Source organism: Homo sapiens, chromosome 15 (genome assembly GCF_000001405.40).
Source record: "Homo sapiens chromosome 15, GRCh38.p14 Primary Assembly".
Taxonomy (NCBI): Eukaryota; Metazoa; Chordata; class Mammalia; order Primates; family Hominidae; genus Homo; species Homo sapiens.
Window position 1 is genome coordinate 75,051,227 of NC_000015.10, and position 23,337 is coordinate 75,074,563.

General features: G+C 48.2%; 7 annotated features.

Moving 5' to 3' along the window:
* Window positions 272-773: an enhancer, noted in NCBI's record as "H3K27ac hESC enhancer chr15:75343839-75344340 (GRCh37/hg19 assembly coordinates)". NCBI's record gives its function as "activates a minimal SCP1, AML or CMV promoter by ChIP-STARR-seq in primed H9 embryonic stem cells {active_cell/tissue: H9 hESC(primed)}" and the evidence as "EXISTENCE:reporter gene assay evidence [ECO:0000049][PMID:30033119]".
* Window positions 774-1,273: an enhancer, noted in NCBI's record as "H3K27ac hESC enhancer chr15:75344341-75344840 (GRCh37/hg19 assembly coordinates)". NCBI's record gives its function as "activates a minimal SCP1, AML or CMV promoter by ChIP-STARR-seq in primed H9 embryonic stem cells {active_cell/tissue: H9 hESC(primed)}" and the evidence as "EXISTENCE:reporter gene assay evidence [ECO:0000049][PMID:30033119]".
* Window positions 10,461-10,510: an enhancer, noted in NCBI's record as "active region_9826". NCBI's record gives its function as "activates an Ori minimal core promoter by ATAC-STARR-seq in GM12878 lymphoblastoid cells {active_cell/tissue: GM12878}" and the evidence as "EXISTENCE:reporter gene assay evidence [ECO:0000049][PMID:35858748]".
* Window positions 18,163-18,272: an enhancer, noted in NCBI's record as "active region_9827". NCBI's record gives its function as "activates an Ori minimal core promoter by ATAC-STARR-seq in GM12878 lymphoblastoid cells {active_cell/tissue: GM12878}" and the evidence as "EXISTENCE:reporter gene assay evidence [ECO:0000049][PMID:35858748]".
* Window positions 18,333-18,592: an enhancer, noted in NCBI's record as "active region_9828". NCBI's record gives its function as "activates an Ori minimal core promoter by ATAC-STARR-seq in GM12878 lymphoblastoid cells {active_cell/tissue: GM12878}" and the evidence as "EXISTENCE:reporter gene assay evidence [ECO:0000049][PMID:35858748]".
* Window positions 18,603-18,692: an enhancer, noted in NCBI's record as "active region_9829". NCBI's record gives its function as "activates an Ori minimal core promoter by ATAC-STARR-seq in GM12878 lymphoblastoid cells {active_cell/tissue: GM12878}" and the evidence as "EXISTENCE:reporter gene assay evidence [ECO:0000049][PMID:35858748]".
* Window positions 18,773-18,872: an enhancer, noted in NCBI's record as "active region_9830". NCBI's record gives its function as "activates an Ori minimal core promoter by ATAC-STARR-seq in GM12878 lymphoblastoid cells {active_cell/tissue: GM12878}" and the evidence as "EXISTENCE:reporter gene assay evidence [ECO:0000049][PMID:35858748]".

The window sequence follows — 23,337 nt, forward strand, 5'->3', positions numbered from 1 at the left end:
GGGCGAGGATCTATGCCAGGGATTTTAGGGAAGGCAGTCACCCAGGGAGATCAACCACAAAGTGCCTGTGTGAAAAGGCCATGGGAGCAGGGAAGTTCACAGGCCACTGTCCCAGAGCTCTGAAAACAGCTGTGGCTGCTCAGCAGGACTGCGCCTTGTTGGCTAGAAGGGAACATATATCCCTGTGGACTCAGGCCAGCTGGAGGCCCCTGTCCCTGGGGGTTCGTCTCTCCATCTCCTACCCACAGCAGTCCTGCATCCCTGCCGCCCATTTTGAAGCGGGGGGTCTGGATGAATGGGTCTGGGCTGGGCCTAAAGAGCCCAGCTGTTCCCTGCACCAGACTGGAGCTAAGAGGAGCAGGTGCTGCATTTAGCTGGCCCCATCTGCCAAGGAGGTGCTGAGTGGGGAGTGACAATCACTGCTTTCCCCACGAGGGGTCCAAGCACTTGAAGTTACCTTCATCTTGGGGAGAAATGTTTCTCAGAGAAGATTCTAGCCTCCCTGATGATTTTTTATAGAATTCTGGAAGTTTCAGAGAATAGAACATTTGGGTCTGAAATGTGCACTCTTTTGTGGCAGCCATGAGCCCTTCAAGGCTGCTGTGGATGCTGCTGGGTGGGAGGCAGAAGCCACCAAACCAAGGCCCAGCTTCCACCCTGGGCCGCCTCCAGCCCTTCCTGCACCCCGCTGGTCAGGTGCCGCTGCTGCCTCCCCACTGCCTCAGGTCAGGCCCAGACTCCTGGGCAGTACACACCTGGCCCTTTGTGATCTGGCTCCTGCCTACCCTTCTAGCACTGCCCTTTACCACATGCCAACCCTGAAGGGCTCCGTATTCTCTTGCCAGACTGGACAACCTTGAACTTGTGAGGCCTCTTGCCTGTGCACATGCTGCTGCTTTTACTGGGATAAGACTGACTCCCACACATGCCTGTGGATGTACCTGGGTGCTACCTCCTTTGGAAAGCCTTCCCTGGCCAACTGCAACCTCCTTGCCCAGGTTGCCATGGTGCTTCCCACTATTATTTTTTATTTTTATTTTTATTTTTTGAGATGGAGTCTCATTCTTTCGCCCAGACTGGAGTGCAGTGGTGCGGTCTCAGCTCACTGTAAACTCTGCCTCCCAGGTTCAAGCAATTCTCCTGCTTCAGCCTCCTGAGAGGCTGGGATTACAGGTGTGCACCACCATGCCCAGCTTTTTTTTTCTTTTTCTTTTTTAAAATTTTTAGACGGTGTCTTGCTCTGTCGCCCAGGCTGGAGTGCAGTGGCATGATCTTGGCTCACTGCAAGCTCCGCCTCCCTGGTTCACGCCATTCTCCTGCCTCAGCCTCCTGAGTAGCTGGGACTACAGGCGCCCGCCACCACGCCCGGCTAATTTTTTTTTTGTATTTTTAATAGAGACGGAGTTTCACTGTGTTAGCCAGGATGGTCTCAATCTCCTGACCTCGTGATTCACCTGCCTCAGCCTCCCAAAGTGCTGGGATTACAGGCGTGAGCCATCGCACCTGGCCTGATTTTTTTTTTTTTTTTTTTTGTATTTTTAATAGAGACGGGGTTTCACCATGTTGGCCAGGCTGGTCTCGAACTCCTGACCTCATGATCTTCCTGCCTCGGCCTCCCAAAGTGCTGGAATTACAGGAGTGAGCCACCGTGCCCGGCCACCACTATTTATTACAACAGAATTGTAATTGTTAGTTTACTTTGTGTCCTCCTAACATTGGGTTCTCTTGGAGAGCAGGAGTTGTCCTGTTCCTTACAGAACCCAGTAAGTCACTCCAAGCTTGTACTGATCAAAAAAGTGGTGTGTGTGTTGGGGCTATTGGTTCCTGCTCCTTTCTGTGCAAGAGACAAAATTTAGCAACCACAAAAGCAAAGATTGATAAATTTGACTATAGAAAAATAGGTTCACTGAGCAACAACCCAAAGTCAAGGTCAAAGGACAACATGCTGGGGAAATTATCTGCAGCTCATAAACAAAGGGCTGATTCTCCTAATATATGAAGAACTCCTATGCATTGATGATAAAAAGACCAAGGGCCGGGCACAATAGCTCACACCTGTAATCCTAGCCCTTTGGGAGGCCGAGGTGGGTAGATTGCCTGAGCTCAAGGAGTTGAGACCCACCTGGCCTACCTGGTGAAACCCTGTCTCTACTAAAATACAAAAAATTAGCCAGACATGGTGGTGCATGCCTGTAGTCCCAGCTACTTGGGTGGCTCAGGCAGGAGAATTGCTTGAACCTGCGAGGCGGGGGTTGCAGTAAGCTGAGATCATGCCACTGAACTCCAGCCTGGGTGACTGAGCAAGATTCCATCTCAATAAAAAAAAAAAAAAAAAAAAAGAAAGAAAAAGAAAAAGGAAAAAAAGACCAAGAACATGTATTAAAAAGTGAGCAGAAGATACGAAGAATTCACATTAAAAACAAAAAAAAAAACAAAACCAAAAACCCAGTCACACAAAGGGCCCTTAAACAGCTACTCAGCCACATTCATGAGGAGAGTGGTGCAAATCAAGCTAGACCTAAAACTTTTGCCTGTTAGACTGGTGGGGGTGTGGGGAATTGGTGCCCTCATGCATTGCTGGTAGGAGCGTAAATTGATGGCAACTTCACTGGAGAACAATCTCGGAGTATCTATCAAAACTACGTATGCACCTTACCCTTTGACCCAGCAATTCTACTTCTAGGGATTTGTCCCACAGATACACTCACTTCTATGACATTATGTCTAAACAGATTTATTGCAGGCTTGTATATGGTACTGAAAGACCAGGCCAGGCACAGTGGCTCACGCCTGTAATCCCAGCATTTTGGGAGGCCAAGGCGGGCAGATTGGCTGAGCTCAGGAGTTTGAGACCAGCCTGGCAACATGGCGAAACCCCGTCTCTACTAAAAATACAAAGTCAGGTGTGATGGTGCATGCCTGTAATCCCAGCTACTCAGGAGGCTGAGGCAGGAGAATCGCTTCAACCTGGGAGGTGGAGGTTGCAGTGAGCCAAGATTGCACCACTGCACTTCAACCTAGGTGACAGAGAAAGACTCTGTCTCAAAAAAAAAAAAAAAAAATTACATATGCACCTTACCCTTTGACCTAGCAATTCTGCTTCTAGGGATTTGTCCCACAGATACACTCAGTTGTATGACATTATGTCTGAACAGGAGATTTATTGCAGCCTCGCATATGGTGCTAAAAGACTGGAAACACCCTCACTATCTAACAGCCAGGAGATTGGATAAATAAATTAGTGTGTTCCTTCATACACTGGAACTCTACACAACCATAAAACAAAGTGTTGAGGAAGCTGATTTGGGAAGACTTCTGAGGTACATTGTTAAACAGAAAAAGCAAGGTGCAGAAGAATGTCACATGCATGCTTGTGCAGAAAAAATGGGGGTGGGGAAAGAAAAGGAGGATATATTCTTATTGGCTTGTGTGTGCATCAAATGCCTTTAAAAAGATAAACAGAGAAAAACATTGTCTATTGTTTTTCTCTTGGCAGGGGAACTAACTGAGTGGTTGAGAAACAAAGATAGGAGGCAGGCCAGGACTCCGTCTCAAAAAAAAAAAAAAAAAAGATAGGAGGTGACTTCATTTTTAATTGTTGGGCCAGATGAATATACTATCTACCACAAAATCAATAAATACATTTTAAAAAGAGTTCCTTGTGGTCAGGCACAGTGGCTCACACCTGTAATCCCAACACTTTGGGAGGCCAAGGCAGAGGGATTAGTTTAAGACCAGAAGTTTGAGACAGGCCTAGGCAACACAGTGAGACTCCATCTCTACCAAAAGAAACACAACTAACTGGACATGGTGGCACACGCCTGTATTCCCAGCTACTTAGGAGGCTGAGGTGGGAGGATTGCTTGAGCCCAGGAGTCCAAGGCTGCAGTGAGCTATGGTCATGCCAGTGCACTCCGGCCTGGGTGAGGAGTGAGACTCTGTCTCTAAAAAATTTAATAATAATAAATAAAAATATAAAAAGATTTTTCTGCTCTTTTTGTTTGTTTTTTAAGACAGGGCCTCACTCTGTCATCCAGGCTGGAGTGTAGTGGCACAATCACAGCTCACTGCAGACTTGACTTTCTGGGGCTCAAGTGATCCTCCCATCTTAGACTCCCGAGTAACTGGGACTACAGGCACCCGCCACCATGGCCCGGCTAATTTTTGTATTTTTGGTAGATACGGGGTTTCACCATGTTGGCCAGGCTAGTCTTGAACTCCTGGCCTTAAGTGATCCACCTGCCTCAGCCTCCCAAAGTGCTGGGATTACAGGTGTGAGCCTGGCCTCTTTCTGTTCTTTATCTGGAAGTTCTTAAAAATGATGGCAGGGAGTTACTGCAAACAAACACACAGACTTGGCAGAGGCATCTGGAAATTTTCTTTTTGTTTTTGAGACTGGGTTTCACTCCGTTACCTGGGCTGACTGCAGTGCAGCAGCACAATCACAGCTCACTGTAGCCTTGAACTCCAGGGCTCAGTTGATCCTCCCACCTTAGCCTCCCCAGTAGCTGAGACTACAGGCACATGACACCATGCCTGGCTAATTTTTTATTTTTTGCAGAGATGGGGTTTTACCATGTTGCCCAGGTTGGTCATGAACTCCTGGACTCAAGTGATGCTCCTGCCTTGGCCTCCCAAAGTGCTGTAATTACAGGCATGAGCCACGGTGCCTGGCCTGAAGATATTCATCAAGGCCTTTGGAGTAGAAATGGGTCTGCTTTTCTTGTCACAAGCTAACAGAGGAAAATGAATTTTGAGTATCCTTGTGTGCTTTTAATAAACCTTTGAGATCCCTGATCTCAAGGAACTTATGTTCTTATGGGAGAAAGATTCACAGTGATCAAATAACAGCAAACAATGAAAGTGAGACTGTGTGGCATGGACTCTACTTCAGAATTGAGCAGTCAGGATGGGTCCCCTGGACGGAACAGAACTTGGGCTGGGGCTTACAGGAGGACCAAGGATACAAAGGGTGAAGACATGCTGCCATGTGCTTGATGTAGGACACCCAGGGAGGAACTCCGGCTCCACGTGCTGGGGAGGTTGGGAGCTGTTCAGTAGGGGAGGCACATGGTGAGTGTGGCGTGCGGTCAAGATCAGCGGGGCGGTATGTGCAGGACAGATTGGGTCTGGATTGAGAAGCTGGAGTCTAGGAGGAAGCCAGGATGCTGAGAAGGGGAATCTAGGTTGTGCTGAAGGCCTTGACCACACCCCTGATTCTGGAAAAGGGGTGACAAAAGTAACAATGTGAAGAAAAATCAACACCATTAAAAACTGTAAAAACCACGGTCTTTTCCAAAGGTGGTGTGTACTAAAAACAAAACAAAACACAATATCCAACAAACAAACAAACAAAAAACAACCCACTGTCCTTGTGGCCAGTGGAGGGAGGGAGACTAAATGACACTGTATGTGTGTGTTGGTGCAAGATTTATAGCAATCTTCAGCCCCACCCATGAAAAATAATTTTGCTTTGCTTATTATAGTATAGTTTTTTTCTCTCTCCTGACCTCACAGTATTGTTCAATCTGTCTTTGTGGCCAGGCGCAGTGGCTCATGCCTGTAATCCCAGCACTTTGGGAGGCCAAGGTGGGCAGATCACTTAAGGTCAGGAGTTCAAGACCAGCCTGGCCAACATGGTGAAACCCTGTCTCTACTAAAAATACAAAATTAGCCAGGTGTGGTGGTGCATGCCTGTAATCCCAGCTACTCAGGAGGCTGAGGCAGGAGAATTGCTTGAACCGGGGAGGAAGAGGTTGCAGTGAGCTGAGATCGTACCACTGCACTCCGGCCTGGGCAGTAGAATGAGACTCCATCTCAAAAAACAAAACAAAACAAAAACAATCTGTTCTGTGGTTCCTGGGCACTTTGTGGTGTGGGATTAGAAAAACAGATTGGTGGTGGCTCACGCCTGTAATCCCAGCACTTTGGGAGACCAAGGCGGGTGGATCACAAGGTCAGGAGTTTGAGACCAGCCTGGCCAACATGGCAAAACCCTGTCTCTACTTAAAAAATACGAAAATTAGCTGGGTGGTGGCAGGCGCCTGTAATCCCAGCTACTCGGGAGGCTGAGGCAGGAGAATCACTTGAACCTGGGAGGCAGAGGTTACAGTGAACCGAGATCGTGCCATTGCACTCCAACCTGGATGACAAGAGCAAGACTCCGTCTCAAACAAAAAAAAAAAAAGAAAAACAGATTGAGATACAGAACTGGGAAGATGGGAACAAATGGAGGAGTGAAGGAATCTTTTTGTTTTTTTTTTTTTGAGCCAGAGTCTCGCTCTGTCGCCCAGGCTGGAGTGCAGGGGCGCGATCTCGGCTCACTGCAAGCTCCGCCTCCCGGGTTCACACCATTCTCCTGTCTCAGCCTCCTAAGTAGCTGGGACTACAGGCACCCACCACCACGCCCAGCTAATTTTTTGTATTTTTAGTAGAGATGGCATTTCACCGTGTTAACCAGGATGGTCTCGATTTCCTGACCTTGTGATCTGCCCACCTCAGCCTCTCAAAGTGCTGGGATTACAGGCGTGAGCCACCGCGCCTGGCCAAGGTTTTTTTTTTTTTTTTTTGAGATGGAATCTTGCTCTGTCGCCAGGCTGGAGTGCAGTGGCGCAATCTCAGCTCACTGCAGCAATTGTGATTGAGGTTCTTTTTAAAGCCCTTTGCAATGTGTGATTCTCTGAGTGCAGCTGAGCAGGACTGAACTGTGTGGAGCCCTAGATAAGACTTGGGTTATGGGTACGTGTTACATGTTCTCCATATTGCCAAGTGTTTCTTTAATCTCATTTCACCCTCCTCACATAACAGCTTCACGATGGAGTCAATTAGCATATGTAGCTGTTTCATAGACAAGAAACTGAGGGCCGCACAGCCAGTGCAGTGTGCTAGGGTTTTCTCTTTCTGCCCTACAGCTACCTGCAAACAGGCTCCTGCACAGGACTTCTACCCTTATTTGCATTTACCTCCTTGGGGTCAGTTGAAACACCCCTTCCACCATACATCAGCATCCCCAGATGCCTGCCCTTTCAGTCCCAACTGGACAGCTCCTTCATTACCTTTTTCTGCTCATGGCTTCCTTCCTTCATGTATTGTGGTTTCTAGGGCAGGATGAAAATCCTAAGTGTCACGCAACTGCCTCTGAGCAAAGAAATCAACCCCAATAACTGACAAGTTGTTTACACTGAGAGCTTCCTGGTGGAACCAAATATTCTACAATATTTAAGCCAGGTTTGGTACCCCTTGCGGCAAGGCAATGGGAATGATCAGGCCAGAAGAACTACCAGTTGTCTCATAGCAAAGGAATGTGGGGAGTGGGTGGGTGTGAGGACAAGAGGCAGATATGTGAGCTTCAGGGCTTTTGGAGGACATGCAGCTAATCCAGGTGGAATCTGGGAGCATGTGTCGTTCCCTTGCTGCAATGGGCTCATTTCATGGTGGCTTTATCTGCTGAGATTACATGGTGATGCTTTGCCTGCTAGCCTAGACAGCAGGTCCTTAGGGACTGGAGGCCCAGCAGACTCCCTTTCAGGCCTCTGGATTCCTGGAAGAGGAAGGAGTGTTCAAAGGTGAATTAAAAGGTGCCTTCCATCTGTGTAGGCAAAACAATGTTACCAGCCATAGCGATGGACTTGGAAGCAGCCAACATGAGTTGAACATGAACACATGGATGCTGAAGATCCTTTCTTTCTCTCTTTAAATTTTCTTTTTTTTTTGAGATGGAGTCTCGCTCTGTCGCCCAGGCTGGAGTGCAGTGGCGCTATCTTGGCTCACTGCTAGCTCCGCCTTCTGGGTTCATGCCATTCTCCTGCCTCAGCCTCCCGAAGTAGCTGGACTACAGACACCGGCCGCCACGCCTGGCTAATTTTTGTTGTATTTTTAGTAGAGACGGGGTTTCACCGTGTTAGCCAGGATGGTCTCGATCTCCTGACCTCGTGATCCACCCGCCTCGGCCTCCCAAAGTGCTGGGATTACAGGTGTGAGCCACTGCACCCGGCCCTCTCTTTAAAATTAAAAAAAAGAAAGTTTTTTAACTTTAACTAGGTCCTGACCAGACATAAAATTTTTTTAATTAAAAAATTTTTTTGGCCAGGTGTGGTGGCTCACACCTATAATCCCAGTACTTTGGGAGGCCAAGGCAGATGAATCACAAGGTCAGGCGTTCAAGACCCACCTGGCCAAGACGGCGAAACCCCGTCTCTACTAAAAATAAAAAATTAGCTGGGCGTGGTGGCGAGTGCCTGTAATCCCAGCTGCTCAGGAGGCTGAGGCAGAGAATTGCTTGAACCCGGGAGGCAGAGGTTGCAGTGAGCCGAGATCGTGCCACTGCACTCTAGCCTGGGCGACAGAGTGAGACTCCATCTCAAAAAAAAAAGTAAATAACATTTTTTTAAGAGACAGGGTCTTACTCTTTCATCCAGGTTGGACTGCAGTGGTGCGATCATGGCTCACATACAGCCTCGACTTCCCTGGACTCAGGTGTTCCTCGCACCTCAGCCACCAGAGGAGTAGCCAGGACCACAGGTGAGAGCCACCACACCCAAGCAATCTTCCTGCCTCAGCCTCTCAAATTGCTGGGATTAAAGGTGTAAGCCACCGCTCCTGGCCCTGAAGATTTCCTCCTCTCAGAAGAGACCGTGGCCTGGCCCTGGCTTGGGAGCTGATATGTTACCTGGAACTTCTGGAAATTGCTCTCCTGGCAGGGGAGAAGTTGAATTCTGGTGTGCCATGCTTGGGGGAAGCTGGCATGATGGAGGGAAGAGAGAGAAGGCTGTGGAAGGGAACTCAGGTTTATCTGGCTCCTGGCCTGTGCCAGACCCTGCATTTAAGCCTCCTAAACATCCTTCCAGATGGGCATTGTTATTCCCATTTAAGAAATAAGAGGCTGGGCGGCTGGGCGCGGTGGCTCATGCCTGTAATCCCAGCACTTTGGGAGGCCAAGGCAGGCGGATCACGAGGTCAGGAGATCGAGACCATCCTGGTGAACACGGTGAAACCCCGTCTCTACTAAAAATACAAAAGATTAGCTGGGCATGGTGGCAGGCACCTGTAGTCCCAGCTAATCGGGAGGCTGAGGCAGAAGAATGGTGTGAACCCAGGAGGTGGAGCTTGAAGTGAGTGGAGATCCTGCCACCCCACTCCAGCTTGGGTGACAGAGCGAGACTCCATCTCAAAAAAAAAAAAAAAAAAAAAAAAAGCGGCTGGACACAGTGACTCATGCCTGTAATCCCAGCACTTTGGGAGGCCGAGGTGGGTGGATCACGAGGTCAGGAGTTCGAGACCAGCCTGACCAACATGGTGAAACCCCGTCTCTACTAAAAATACAAAAATTAGCCAGGTGTGGTGGCATGCACCTGTAATCCCAGCTACTCAGGAGGCTGAGGCCGGAGAATCGCTTGAACCCAGGAGGCGGAGGTTGCAGTGAGCAGAGATTGCACCACTGCACTCCAGCCTGGATGACAGAGCGAGACTCTGTCTCAAAAAAAAAAAAATAAAAAAAGACATAACCTGTGCTAGGTGTGGTGGTGTGCACGGGCAATCCTGGCTACTCAGAGGCTGAGGCAGGAAAATCGCTTTAGCCCAGGAGTTTGAGTCTACAGTGTGCCATGACTGAGCCTGTGAATAGCCACTGACTCCAGCCTAGGCAACGTAGGGAGACCCTATCTCTAAAAAATGATAATAATAAGAGGAACCTGAGGCCCAGAAAGAAGGATATAACTGAAATTGACCCAATAGTTCCATAGACAGCTTTTCCTGATAAACAGAAATTGACATATCTTGTCTTAAAGCTGGAAACTCACCAGATTCAGACAATGAGATACCAGGTCTCTCAAAAAGTATCAAAGAATCTCATACACAGTTTTTCCTGATAAACAGAAATGGACACATCTGGTCTTAAAGCTTGAAACTCACCAGATTCAGACAGTGAGATACCAGGCCTCTCAAAAAGTAGGAAAGAACTGAAACTCACAGAGCATAGCATCCAGACAATGAGACCCAGGCCCCTCATTATCATGATTGCTTCCTTACCCCTCAGGAGTTCCTGTTTTCCCTTACATTGTTAAGTTTCTTCCCTGCTGTACAAACCCCTAATTTTAGCCAGGGAGATGGATTTGAGACTGAGCTCCCATCTCCTTGGCCACAGCACTCAATTAAAGCCTTCTTCCTTGGCAATCCTGTGTCTCAGTCATTGGCTTTTTGTGTGACCAACAGCAGGACCTAGACCAAACCCCTGGTGTGTCAGCAACCTAACCACAAACCAAGCATGGCCTCTTACAGGGGAAAGTAGAAATAGTGGTGCTGCTAACACAGGCTGGACCTGAGCTAGGAATAGAAAGAAACACAGGCTGACTGTATTTTGTCTAAACTGGGCACTTCTGAGAGTGAAAAAGGGCAATTAACATGCCAGGAAAATAGGCATCAACTGGACTGTTCTGGGCAAACCAGCATGTATGGTCACTACTCACAGAGCACCAGAAGGAAGCCATGCTCTGTGAAGCAATGGCCACCATTTACAATTTAATTCTCACAGCAACCCTAAGGTGGATATTGTTGTCCCCTGGCCATTTCTCCTGAGAGCAAGAATTTGACAAATGAGGACGCTGAGGTTCAAATAAGTTATTTAACTTTCTTTTTTTTTGAGACGGAGTCTTGCTCTGTTGCCCAGGCTGGGGGTGCAGTCTTGGCTTACTGCAGCCTCCACCTCACGGGTTCAAGTGATTCTCCTGCCTCAGCCTCCTGAGTAGCTGGGACTACAGGTGCGCATCACCATGCCCAGCTAATTTTTTATAGTTTTAGTAGAGACGGGGTTTCACCATGTTGGCCAGGCTGGTCTCGAACTCCTGACCTCCGGTGATCCACCTGCATTGGCCTCCCAAAGTGCTGGGATTACAGGCGTGAGCCACTGCGCCTGACCGGTTACTTAACTTTCTCAAGGTCCCACAGCTAGTAAGTGAGGAAGCTCTGGCAGGCTCCAAGCCCTTGCTCTTTCTGTGAGTCATGTTGCCTCCAAGGCCCAGGGCCATTGGAGGAAGACCAGAGGAGGAGGCCAGCTGGAGGGAACAAAGCTTGGGTCTTGGAGGGTGACAGGCCAGTCACCAGACAATCCCTGAAGTCTCCATATGGCCTCTCCCAGGGCTGGCTTGCAAGAGAAGGTGAGTGTGTAGTGGGGGTTTAGGGCGGGGTAGAGGCCCCCCAGGCTTCCACAAGGATCGTCCTGGGCTTCCAGGAAGGCGTGACCAAGGCAGAGGCTTGCCTGGGAATTTTCTAGGAAAGAAGTCATGCCCTGAGTTGCCCCATTTTTATGATTGGAGAACAGGAACACTGATACATCGAATGGCAGGTATCCTGGAGCCAGGACTGTCCCCTCTGGTCTATAGATTCTGCCATGGCCCTGGCTCAGTCTCTCTGGAACTCAGAGAATCGTGGTGGTCTGGGATGCAGGAATACTCCAGATTAGCAGCAGAAGGTGTGCAAGCATATGCATGCATGCAGAATTTGTAAGCCTCAGGGGTTAGTTCTTGCTCCATTCACAAGCCAGCCTGACCCTCCAGAGTGGACCAGTGGCCACAGCATAGAAAATGGAGGGCACAGGCCAAAGCTCAGATGGCCTTTGGAATCACCTTGACTTATGACATCACAGGCAGATGGGTAGGAAATAGGCCACCAGTCATCCAGTCAGGTGGATCACAGCACCTGCTCGCACCTGGGCCTGGGCCAGTGCTGGCTCTCGGGGACAAGTCTGCCTGCGGTACTTCACACAAGCACAATGGCCTGAGGCCTCTGCAAGCCAAAGTTGCATAAGCAAGGACTGATCATATGTCTTCATTCATTTATTAATTTTTTTAATTAGTAAGGTTATTTGAAGTAGTTTTAAGTTCACAGCAAAACTGAGTGGAAAGTACAGGGAGTTTCCATATCCCATATCCCACTGTCCCCACACATCTACAACCTCCTTTCATTCATTCATTTTTTTTCTTTTTTTGAGATGGGGTATCACTCTGTCACCCAGGCTGGAGTGCAGTGGTGTGATTTTGGCTCACTGCAACCTCCGCCTCCCAGGCTCAAGTGATCCTCCCACCCGAGCCTCCCCCGTAGCTGGGACCACAGGTGCGTCCCACCATGCCCAGCTAATTTTTTTGAATTTTTGGTAGAGACAGGGTTTTGCCATGTTGCCCTGTCTGGTCTCGAACTCCTGAGTTCAGACGATCCAACTTGGCCTTCCAAAGTGCTGGGATTACAGGCATGAGCCACCATGCTTGGCCTGTGAGAAAACATTTCAAGTGGTCAGTTTTCAAGGCATGATAAATCTAAGTACTGGCAGCCAGCCTGAAAATGTAACAAACCACAGGGCTCATGCATCTAGAAGGTCACAATAAACAAACAGAATGTAGAAGAGGGGTCAGCTCATAAAAGGGAAAAAAGTTTCATTATTGGGAAATCTAAACTTAAGTGGGGAAGGGGATGGGGTATAATCTTATAAGGGGGATAAGAAAACGTAGGCAATATCCGGGAAGATTGTAACCCCATAGTACTCAACCAATGAGGAACTGGGGGAGGGACTTCTGTGCTAAGGGATAAATTACCTGCTGTGACTGTCCCAGGCGTGCCTGCCTGCAAGACACCTGATCTTGCAAGACCACTATTAGAAGTCTCACTTTAACTGTTCTTCATGCCTCTAAGTCCATTCTTTGGGTTTGGACAGGTGAGCATGTTTCTCACAACCTGGGGGCCTGTCTGGGATCTCTGTGCCTGCATGGAGTGGGACTCTGGCCAAGAGGGGAGACATGTCCTACTCAATTTAGGTGGCCTGCTCTGTCGGGCATCCCGGCTCCCCACAGAAGCCATAGACAAACCCAAGACTTATTCAGGAGACAGTTGAGATGACACAGGGAGAAAAGCGGGCATCGTGGCAACCAGGCAACCTTGTGTGTGAGCCAAGGTGGAAAATTGGACTGTAAGTACTGCCTTGGTGGTTGGGCATTTTCGGCGGTTGAGTGTGTGTGTGACTGAGACGTATCTTAGATACAAAGTGAGTGCGGAGTCCTAATCCGTGGTTCTGTTCTCCCGAGAGGGAAATGGCTGGACACAGATGAAGCGATTCTCGGGGTGTGCAAGAAACCTCCAGTAAAGGGGGGTTGAGTACACAGGGAAACTCAGACACAGAGACTGACTGAAAATGGGAAACAGGAATTCTAGGCCTAGGGGACAAAGGAAAGAGGGAGCCAAAGAGACTCCTCTGACATTCCCCCAGATAGTCCTTTGGGGAGAATGTGGCAGGTTTGGAGGGACAACCCTCGAACCAGGGACAAGGAAAAGCAAAAGATAATAAAGCATTGCTGTTTTATCTGGCCCAAAGACCCCATTTGTAAGCCTTCAGGGTTTTGGCCCAAGTTTGGCTCAGATGAGGATTGGGTGTGCCAAGTTTTAATTCTCTATGTGAATGATAAAACCCCACCCTCACAAGAAGAGATGTTATGCTCTCTGCTGGATCAAGGAATTAGCCCCCATGTTTCCCTTCAAAGAAGAAGAAAAAGAGCCTAGTAAAAAGCCCTCACCCAGGGAAAAGCCCTGGGACCCCCTGTCATACATGCCCCCTCCATATGTCTCACAAAATAGGGGACAGGAAGATCAAGGGGCAGCAGGAGGGTTAGAGGAAGAAAGACCTGGAGACCATGGGGAAGCTGAACCAACTGCTCCTTTAAATCCTTATCCAAATTTGAAAAAAGAATTAGAACAGTGTAAGAGGGATATTGAAAACTTCCCTATCCCTTTCACACAGCAGGCATCTAGCATGTTCCCTTTTAGGGAAGTTCTCGTGGGACAGGGAGAGATTGGCTTTGTAAATGCTCCTCTTACAAGTACTAATGTTAGGAATTTCAAGAAGGAAATGAAACCACTCCTAGAAGATCCCCTCGGTTTAGCAGACCAACTGGACAAATTCATAGGACCCAGCTTTTACACCTGGGCTGAAATGATGTCTATCTTAAATATCCTGTTCATAGGAGAAGAAAAGGGAATGATTAGGAGAGTGGCCATGACTATCTGGAAGAGGCAACACCCTCCCAGGCAAGAAGTCTTGACAGTCGAACAAAAAACTTCCAAATGTCAATCCCAAATGGGATAATAATGATCCCAGGGACTAGGCCCAAATGCAGGACCTCAGAGAACTGATAGTTAAAGGGGTCAAGGAGCCCACTCCTAGGACACAAAATGTCTCAAAGGCATTCGAGATTCAACAAGAAAAAGAAAACTCCCTCTGCATTCCTGCAGAGGCCAGAGATCAGATGGAAAAAAAAAAACTCCAGATTAAGTTCAGAGAACCCAGTAAGGCAAAGCCTTTTAAAAGTTAACTTTGTAACTAAGAGCTGGCCTTGTGGGCCAGGAAGTGCAGCTGCAGGTTGGGGGGTGGCAGGTGTCGCAGAGCAGGAGCAGACAGCTGAAATAAAGGTAGACAGTGTGAGAGAGCTAGTGTGAGTAAACCCCTGATAAAAGAACTAATGTCTATAGTACACAAAGGGAGTCACTGGGGACCCCAGGCTCTGTGTAATGCAATACTTAGTGAGGCAGCCTTGTTGGCTGGGGTGGATGCCAGGATTCTTGGTCTTGCAGCTGGGGAGATTGGGGTTGCACAGGTGGAGTGGGTTTGGAGTAGGAATTTCGTGGCCGTGGGAGGGACCAGCTCTGCATTGAAGGGGGGGTCCTGAGCCGGTTGCCAAGTTGCAATAAAAATGTCAGAGTTTTCATAAATGGGCTAGTGAGGAGGGGGCTAGTGAGGAGGGGATGTCTTATCCTCCTAGGGCCCAATGATTTGGTTGTGACCAGATGTGCTATCTGTTTAGAGCAGAGTTTCTATCAGCCTTTACCTAATTGTGTCACTTATCTGGGAGGGAGAGTATCTGTGTCTGTTCCAGGTATCTTGCAGCTTCAGGCACCCACCCCCACACCCCAGTCCACTTTTAGCTTCCCTATCTTAGTGTGCCTAAAGGGAAAGGAATGTGCTTATTAAGGCCCACTGTTTTTACTGGGGCCCATTGTATGAGAGTGAAGTTTGGTGATTACCCAGGAGACTTCCCCCGAATCTCGATCCCCCCCAACCCCCCTCCTTCTGTGCTTGAGCTCTTTATCTGTGATTTACAGGCTGAGCTTTCAGGCGCCATTTGTTAGAAGAGAAGTAATTTCTTTGAACTGCATGAGGTTAGAAAGGGAGCTATTTCTGAGCTGCTTTTTAATAGAAGGAAAGTTTTCTGCCAGGGACTCACTTTACCTTGTCTACCTAAATTTCTTTCTGCCTCCTATAACATTAGGAATTATGGGTGTATAGGGACTTATACCCTCACTAAACAAGTATGTGGAAATTGTGTAACTTGTCAAAGGATAAACCAAAAGGTAATTAGAAAACAGGCCACAGGAGGAAGACCTCCTGGACTAAGACCATTTCAAAGCATTCAAGTATATTTTACAAAAATGCTCAAAGTAGAAAGACGAAAGTATTTACTGGTGATCGTAGATCACCTTTCCAGCTGGGTGGAAGCCTTTTGCCTCCCAACAGCCACCACCAGGTATATGGTCAAAATTATATTAGAACAGATTGCACCTAGCTTTGGCCTGGTGAAAAATATTGATTCAGACAATGAGAGCCACTTTACCTCAAAGGTGTTAAGGGGAATTATGGAAGGTTTACAAATTAGATGGGATTATCACACCCCTTGGCATCCCCCTTCCTCTAGAAAGGTAGAAAGAATGAATCAAACTCTCAAAAAGCATTTCACCAAACTAATCTTAGAAACTAAAATGCTTGGACCAAATGTCTCCCAATAGCACTCTGCAGGATTAGGACAGCTCCAATAAAAGACTTGGGATTGTTCCCTTACAAGTTATTATATGGGCTCCTGTATTTAGGCAGAGCTACAGATCTCCCTACTATGGAAACCAAGGATCAATTCTTAAGAAATTATATACTGGCCATATCCTCCACCCTGTCATCCCTTAGGTTAAAAAGACTTCTAACTCAAACTCCACCTCTTAAGTTTGTGGTTCACCACTTCCAGCCTGGTGACTTCATGCTGATTAAGACTTGGAAATAAGACAAGCTCCACCCAAGCTGGGAAGGTCCCTATCAAGTGCTCCTGACCACTGAGATGGCCCTGCAAACAGCTGAATGGAGGTGGACTCACTATATTCGAGTCAAGGGACTGGTAAAAGAGATCCCGGAAGGGAGGGAAAAAGATCAGTGGAAAGTGCCCGAGTCTAACTTTAACTCTTAACTTTAAGGAACCCTTAAAGTGAACTCTAAGAAAAATCTAAAAAGAAAACATGAGCTGGCCCCATTTCTGGAAATTAACATGGCTGGGATGGGCTAATATACAAAGAGCAGAAGGTCAAAATGGAAACTGGCAGCAGACTCTTCTCTACCCAGTCAGGTTGGTGATTAATGTGACCAAGACAGTAGCACCCCAGACTATAAGATTTAATGCCTGCCAGGTTTTACCTTGTGGAAATTTAAAAAATCAGAGACAGATCTCACAGGCAGATAAATATCTTTGCCCTAAACCAAATACAGGTTACAGTAGGGCATCACCCTACCCCAGCTGGGATAATATATGGTGGACTACCCAATTTCAGGGCTGGACAGTAAACATGGGGTGGGTAACTCCAAGCTGGAGACCCCTAAAGAATAAACTACATCTGTCCAAGAGCTCCCTGCCAAATAACTGCCAGAATTTTTTTCTTTTTTTTTGAGACAGAGTCTCCCTTTGTCGCCCAGGCTGGAGTGCAGTGGCTGATCTCGGCTCACTGCAAGCTCTGCCCCTCAGGTTCATGCCATTCTCCTGCCTCAGCCTCCTGAGTAGCTGGGACTACAGGCGTCTGCCACCATGCCCGGCTAATTTTTTGTATTTTTTAGTAGAGATGGGGTTTCACCGTGTTAGCCAGGATGGGCTAGATCTCCTGAACTCATGATCCGCCCGCCTCAGCCTCCCAAAGTGCTGGGATTACAGGTGTGAGCTGCTGTGCCCGGCCCCAAAGCACACTCTCTTGACACTGCATCCTCTCGCTCAGCCTGGGGAGGATGGAGTGGTGTAGCAGTCGAGGGCTTTGCATAACCAGATCAACAAGGATGCCTCATTTACAGGTCCACTCAGTCCATCTTTACTGTATGTATATGTGCTCTGTGCTAGGCACTGTGCCCAGTGCTGCGGACACAGTGGGGAAAAGAATCCACATGCTCCCTGCCCTCAGGGTCCTTTCTGAGATAGCTGCCCACAGGTAAGGAAGAGTAGACACCCTGATAAGCACCATGGAGGAAAAGTACGGGGTACTGAGAGGGGATAACCTTGGAGCCTAATTTAGGCAAGGGCAGGGGTTTTCAGGAAAGACTTCCTGGAGGAGGTAAGTGGAAGCAAGATGAGTGACCAGGAGTTCGCCAGGGGAAGATGAACCAGGGCATTTCAGACCCAGGCTATTACATGTGCAAATGTGGGAAGGGGAAGAGCTGGCTGGGGCACATAAAAGTTTTGTGAGTGGGGCAGAGTGCAGTGGGTGAAGGAGGGCAGATTGAGTAGGGGCCCAGTGAGGCAGGGACTGGGTGGGGATCATGGAGAGGCTCTGGGAAGCCAAGGTGGTACTTGGGAAACAAGAACTCCCTCTTTTTCCCATCAGGTAAATGATAACCACACACTGCATGTAGCCTCCTTAGCTAATAGCTTGGGCTGCATTAATAGTGGTATAGCATGCAGGTCAAAGGAGGTGATTTTTCCTCCTTCTGGCTCAGACTGCATCTGAAGGATTGTGGTCCTTTTGGGGCCCCTGCTGCCCAACATCTGCAGGAGAAGAGCCAGCATGCTGAAGGCTTTGCAAAAGCCAGGCTGGATGAGCAGGGAAGAGCAGCCTCAGGGGACAAGAGTCTATCCTAGAACTCTGAGAAATGACCTGGAGGCAAAGTTCAGCCCCAGAGAAGGAAAATGTCCTGGCACCTAGAGCTTATGGAAATGGAGGGAGTGACTGAGGGAGTGAGCCTCCTGCTCTGGGGAAGTTTGAGGAGACACTGGAGGACTAGAGGTGTGAAGAGGGCCCCTGCTTAGCTTCATGGGTGGCCTAGAATCAGTCCTTGCCATTGCTCGAGCATCTACTGTGTGCTCCCTCCCTTCCACCTTCGTGCTGGAGACTCACCACACATGTCCCCCAAACACAGGATTTTGGACCTCACAAATGGTGGGGCTGACCCAGGCTAGTCTGGGGCGGACTCAGGTCTTTTTTCTGCTCAGACTGCTTTGGGGGAAACCAGGGATTGGGAATAGTGGTGGTCTCAGGCCCATGGGCTGGCTGCTGCTAGTCACCCTCTGAAGTTATCTCCCGGGGCCTGCCTTTCAGAGTCCTGAGTGTGTTCTGGTGCTCTGAACCCTCCAACTGTCAGCCATACCGTCCTCACCTATTCGAAACTTGAGAAGTCAACACATCCCTCTTCCACTTCCCCTTCAACTGTGTGCAGACTGGGACTTCCCAGTCGTCTCTGGGTGTTCCCCAAACAGAAGGCTGCCCTGGCTCTCATACCCCAGACCTCTCACTCTTGGCTGCCTCTGTCTCTGATGTTATGTTAGTCCCCAGGCCCTCACCTTCTTTCTTGGTAATGGCTCCAACTCATTCCCATGGCTCTTTCCCACTGCCATCACCGGGCCTCCAGAGCTGGCTTCCCTGGAGGTCCTGCCACCTACCTTCCACTCCCCGCTTGGCCTGTCTACTCTCTGCTGAGTTCTGAGACCAGGGCCAGTTACAGTTTTTTAAAAAAATTGAAGTATAACACATATGGTAAAGTGCACACATCTTAAGTGTACAGCGTGATGGATTTTTTTTTCTTTTTGAGACAGGGTCTGTCTCTGTCACCCAGGCTGGAGTGTAGTGGTGCAATCACTGCTCGCTGCAACCCAGCCTTGACCTCCTGGGCTCAGGTGATCGTCCCATCTCAGCCTCCTGAGTAGCTAGGATACAAGATTGTGCCGCCATGCCCAGTTAATTTTTGTAGAGATGGGGTTTTGTCATGTTACCTGGGCTGGTCTCGAACTTCTGGGCTCAAGAGATCTGCCCACCTCAGCCTCCCAAAGTGCTGGAGTTACAGGTGAGAGCCACCACACCTGGCTGGCCTGCATGATGGATTTTTAGAGGTGCACACACCTGTGAACCACCACCCAGATCAAGCTCGAGAACTTTTTCAGGCCCATTCTCCCAAAAAGCTCTGTCCTCTAGGCTCCCACAGCTTTACTGTGGGATACTTGGCAGATAATTGCCTTACATTCCAACTAGCTAGAGGGCCGGGACCCCTCCTGTTTGCTGTTTTTGTTTCACCCTGCCAACCTAGCATGGTGCAGTGCTCGTAGGAAGTGCCCCTGAGGCCCATTAGATGGAGGGGTTTAGAGTTCATTCACAGTGTTCCAGAATCTGTGCCCAGTTGTCCCTCAGAAATGTGGGAGAGGTGACAGAGATGGAGGATGAGGTCACCAGAGCGCACAGGATCCCTGAGCACCCAGTGTGCTGGTTCTGCTCAGGTGACCTGCCACCCCAGGGATGATATGCACAGGGCTGGAGGCAGACATTCTCAGCAGAGGGCTCAGGAGTGTGGAACTCCTTGTATGGACGCCCTGCCCAGTGGACACAGGCTGCAGCATAGCTCTGCCCAAACTCCCATCCCAGACCCAGAGACACCTGTCTTGAGTGCCCACCATGGCAGGCTCAGAGATCTGAAGGAATAGGGCCAGGCTGTGCTTAGGGGAGCCTTTGAAGTCAGGCGCCTGGTGCAGAACGCTCTGGGAGAGGTCAGAATGCATAGCTTCTCACCTGGAGGGTAAGACCTCCTTGGCTGGCTTCCCCCTTTCCCTGGAACCTGTCCCTTCCCTCTCCTTGGTGCAGGGCCCAGCTAGGGAGATGATACCACCAAAGGAACAGAGTCTCAGCCTAGACTTGAGCAGCAAGATGGGGATGGCAGGTGGCTGGAGGTGGGTGGGAAAGCAGGGCAGCATGGGTGTATGGTGCATAAAGTCCAACAGCTGTCTTGGAGAGCTAGGTCTCCAGGCTGCCAGAAGACTAGAAGATGCTTCCTCTGCTCTAAGGCACAACCCTCCAAATCTTTGAGGGGGAGAGAAAGAGCCCTTTTCTGGGGTCCAGATCCCAGTTGTCACTGGGAGGGTTTCCCTTGGGTGGACTCTTGAGTCCTGGAGACCATATTGTTCCTGTCTCCTCTTTGACTGTAGTAAATACGGGTCTCACACCAGGCTTGGGGCTGCTAGGTAAATCTTTGTTTTTACATCACATCTGCTATTTCGGTGATCGATGCAGGCCTTGGATCCCAGACACCAACATATGTCTTCTTAACCACTTGCTTAAGGCAGCATGGTGGCAAAGTCTTATTATCAGAGATGGTCTGTCCCTCCATGATTGGTAGAGGCATGGCCTTGAGCATATGAGGTCAAAGAGGGAGGGAAAGAGAAGGAAGAGAAATGAACATCAATGGTCAATGCAGGTGGTAAGTACCTTAGATGAACTGAAGTACCTTAGTTCAACTTCTGAAAGGGGAAGCCTGAAAAGTTAACATTTCTGGAGTGTCTATTCTTTGACAAGCGCTTGCTTGCTCTTGTGTGATCCACAGGATGTCTTACTATCTTCATTTTACTGAGAAGGAAATTGATGCTCAGGGGAGTTATCCAATCAGAATAAAAAAGCAGGCAGATATGGAGCTGGATTTTGAGCCAGGTGTATCCAACTCCAAGGCTGGCTCCTTCTCCTCCATGGAATGTACTCTCTAGGGGCCATAAGCATGCTTTCTTGGTGAGATGTCCTGTCCCACACCAAGGAGCCCCTCTCCAGAGACTTTTTTTGAGATGGGGTCTGGCTATGTTGCCCAGGCTTGTCTTGAACTCCTGGCCTCAAGTGATCCTCCCACCTTAGCCTCCTGAGTAGCTGTGATTATAAGCACGAACCGTCATGCTCAGCTTCTCTAAAGATTTGAGGGAAGCTTCCAACATGTAAGAGAGAGGCCAAAACAGCAGAACAAATGGAACTCAGAGGAAACAAAGATGATGCAAAGAGCAGAAGAAAATGTTGAAGAAACTGCAATTGATCATCTCAGAGAGATTGGAAGATATATTGCATCCACAAAACAGGAACTGGATGCCATAGAAGGGGGAGCAATCAGAGAACAAGAATTTAAAATGTGAGAGAGTGGTAGAAAGATAAAATCAAGGAAATCTTTCAGAAAGTTACACAGAAAGACTCAGAGATGAACAACAGGATACAAAAAATAAGAAAATTAGATCAATCTGAGATTCAACATCTGACTGATTCAACTTCCTGAAAAAGAGGACAGAGATAATAGGTGATAAAGAGTTAAAAACACAATAAACGTTTTCGGAAACGACAGAAGTGCTTAATTGAGAGTCTAGTGAGTGCCTAGCAAAATGAATGTATATAAAACAAAGCAAAATCTCTCACCAAGGCTCATCATTGTGAAATCTTAGAACACTAGGATTAAAGAGAAGATTTTAGGAAGAGGACATTTGGAATGCTGTCAGGAGGAGCTCTGCAGACAAAACAACCATAACTGATGAAAAATAATTTTAAAAACAACCATTCACATTCTCTGGAATTTTTCTTAAGGCCATATGGCAGATAAACATTTATTGGCCAGATGCAGTGGCTCATACCTGTAATCCCAGCAATTTGGGAGGCCAAGGTGGGAGGATCACTTGAGTCCAGCAGTTTAAGACCAACCTGGACAACAAAGTGAGACCCCATCTCAAAAAAAAAAAATTGGCCAGAGACGGTGGCACATACCTGTGGTCCCAGCTACACGGGAGGCTGAGGCAGGAGGATTGCTTGAGCCCAGGAGGTCGAGGCTGGAGTAAGCCATATTCGTGCCACTACACTCCAGCCTGCGCAACAGAGCAAAGGGGCTTGAATTTAATTTGATCAGACTGTGGAGAAATTTATGCCCAAGTGATTATAAAACAATAGAGGAACCAGTCAGCAGTTAGTAGAGGCTAACAGTTGTGTGATACTAATATACAGGTTAACAGAAAGCTCAAGAACAGACACAAAGAAAGCCATCTTAAAGCCATTGTCATTCCAGGGTGACAGTACACACGCACAAGGCTGTGGCTTCTTAGGCATGACGTCAGAAACTGCACACAGCCGGGAAATAAACTTCCCTAAAATAGTCCAGCCAGGCCACTAAATAAATAAGCAAACAACAAAAACAAGAAGCTGTGTGCATGTGGCAGAGGGGTAGTGGTTAGTATCCAGAGTTGCTACAATTTATTATCTGAAACATTAATATATTTTATTTTATTATTTTTTTGAGACAAAGTCTCTGTTGCCCAGGCTGGGGTGCAGTAGTATGATCTCAGCTCACTGCAGCTCCCACCTCCTGGATTCAAGCAATTCTCCTGCCTCAGCCTCCCAAGTAGCTGGAATTACAGGTGGTGCCACCAGGCCCAGCTAATTTTTGTATTTTTAGCAGAGATGAGGTTTCACCATGTTGGCCAGTCTGGTCTTGAATTCCTGACCTCAGGTGATCCACCCACCTTGACCTTCCAAAGTGCGGGGATTACAGGCGCAAGCCACCGTGCCTGGCGAATGTTAATATATTTTATGCTATAAATATATATTATTTTAGCATAATATATAACTATGTATATACTATATATAAGTATATTATAAATTATAATTTTTAACAAAAAATTATGGGACATGCATAGAAACAGTAACATGTGACCCATACACAAGAAAAAAGTAGGCAACAGAGCTGCCTTTGAGAGGGTCCAAATGTCAGACTTAGCAGGCAAAGACTTCCAAGCAGCTATTAAACAACTAAAGGAAACCACACTTAAAGAAGTAAAGGAGGCCAGGTGTGGTGGCTCACACCTGTAATCCCTGCACTTTGGGAGGCCGAGGCGGGCAGATCTCAAGGTCAAGAGATCGAGACTATCCTGGCCAACATGGTGAAACCCTGCCTCTACTAAAAATACAAAGGTTAGCTGGGCATGGTGGTGTGTGCCTGTAGTCCCAGCTATTTGGGAGGCTGAGACAGGAGAATTGCTTGAACCCAGGAGGCAGAGGTTGCAGTGAGTCAAGATCACACCACTGCACTCCAGCCTGGCGACAGAGCAAGACTGTCTCAAAAAAAAAAAAAAAAAAAGAAGTAAAGGAAGGAGGGGCATGGTGGCTCATGTCTGTAATCCCAACACTTTGGGAGGCTGAGCTGAGAGGATTGCCTGAGGCCAGGAGTCAAGACCAGCCTGGGCAACATAGAGAGGCCTCATCTCTACAGAAAATTTTAAAATTGGCTGGGCACGG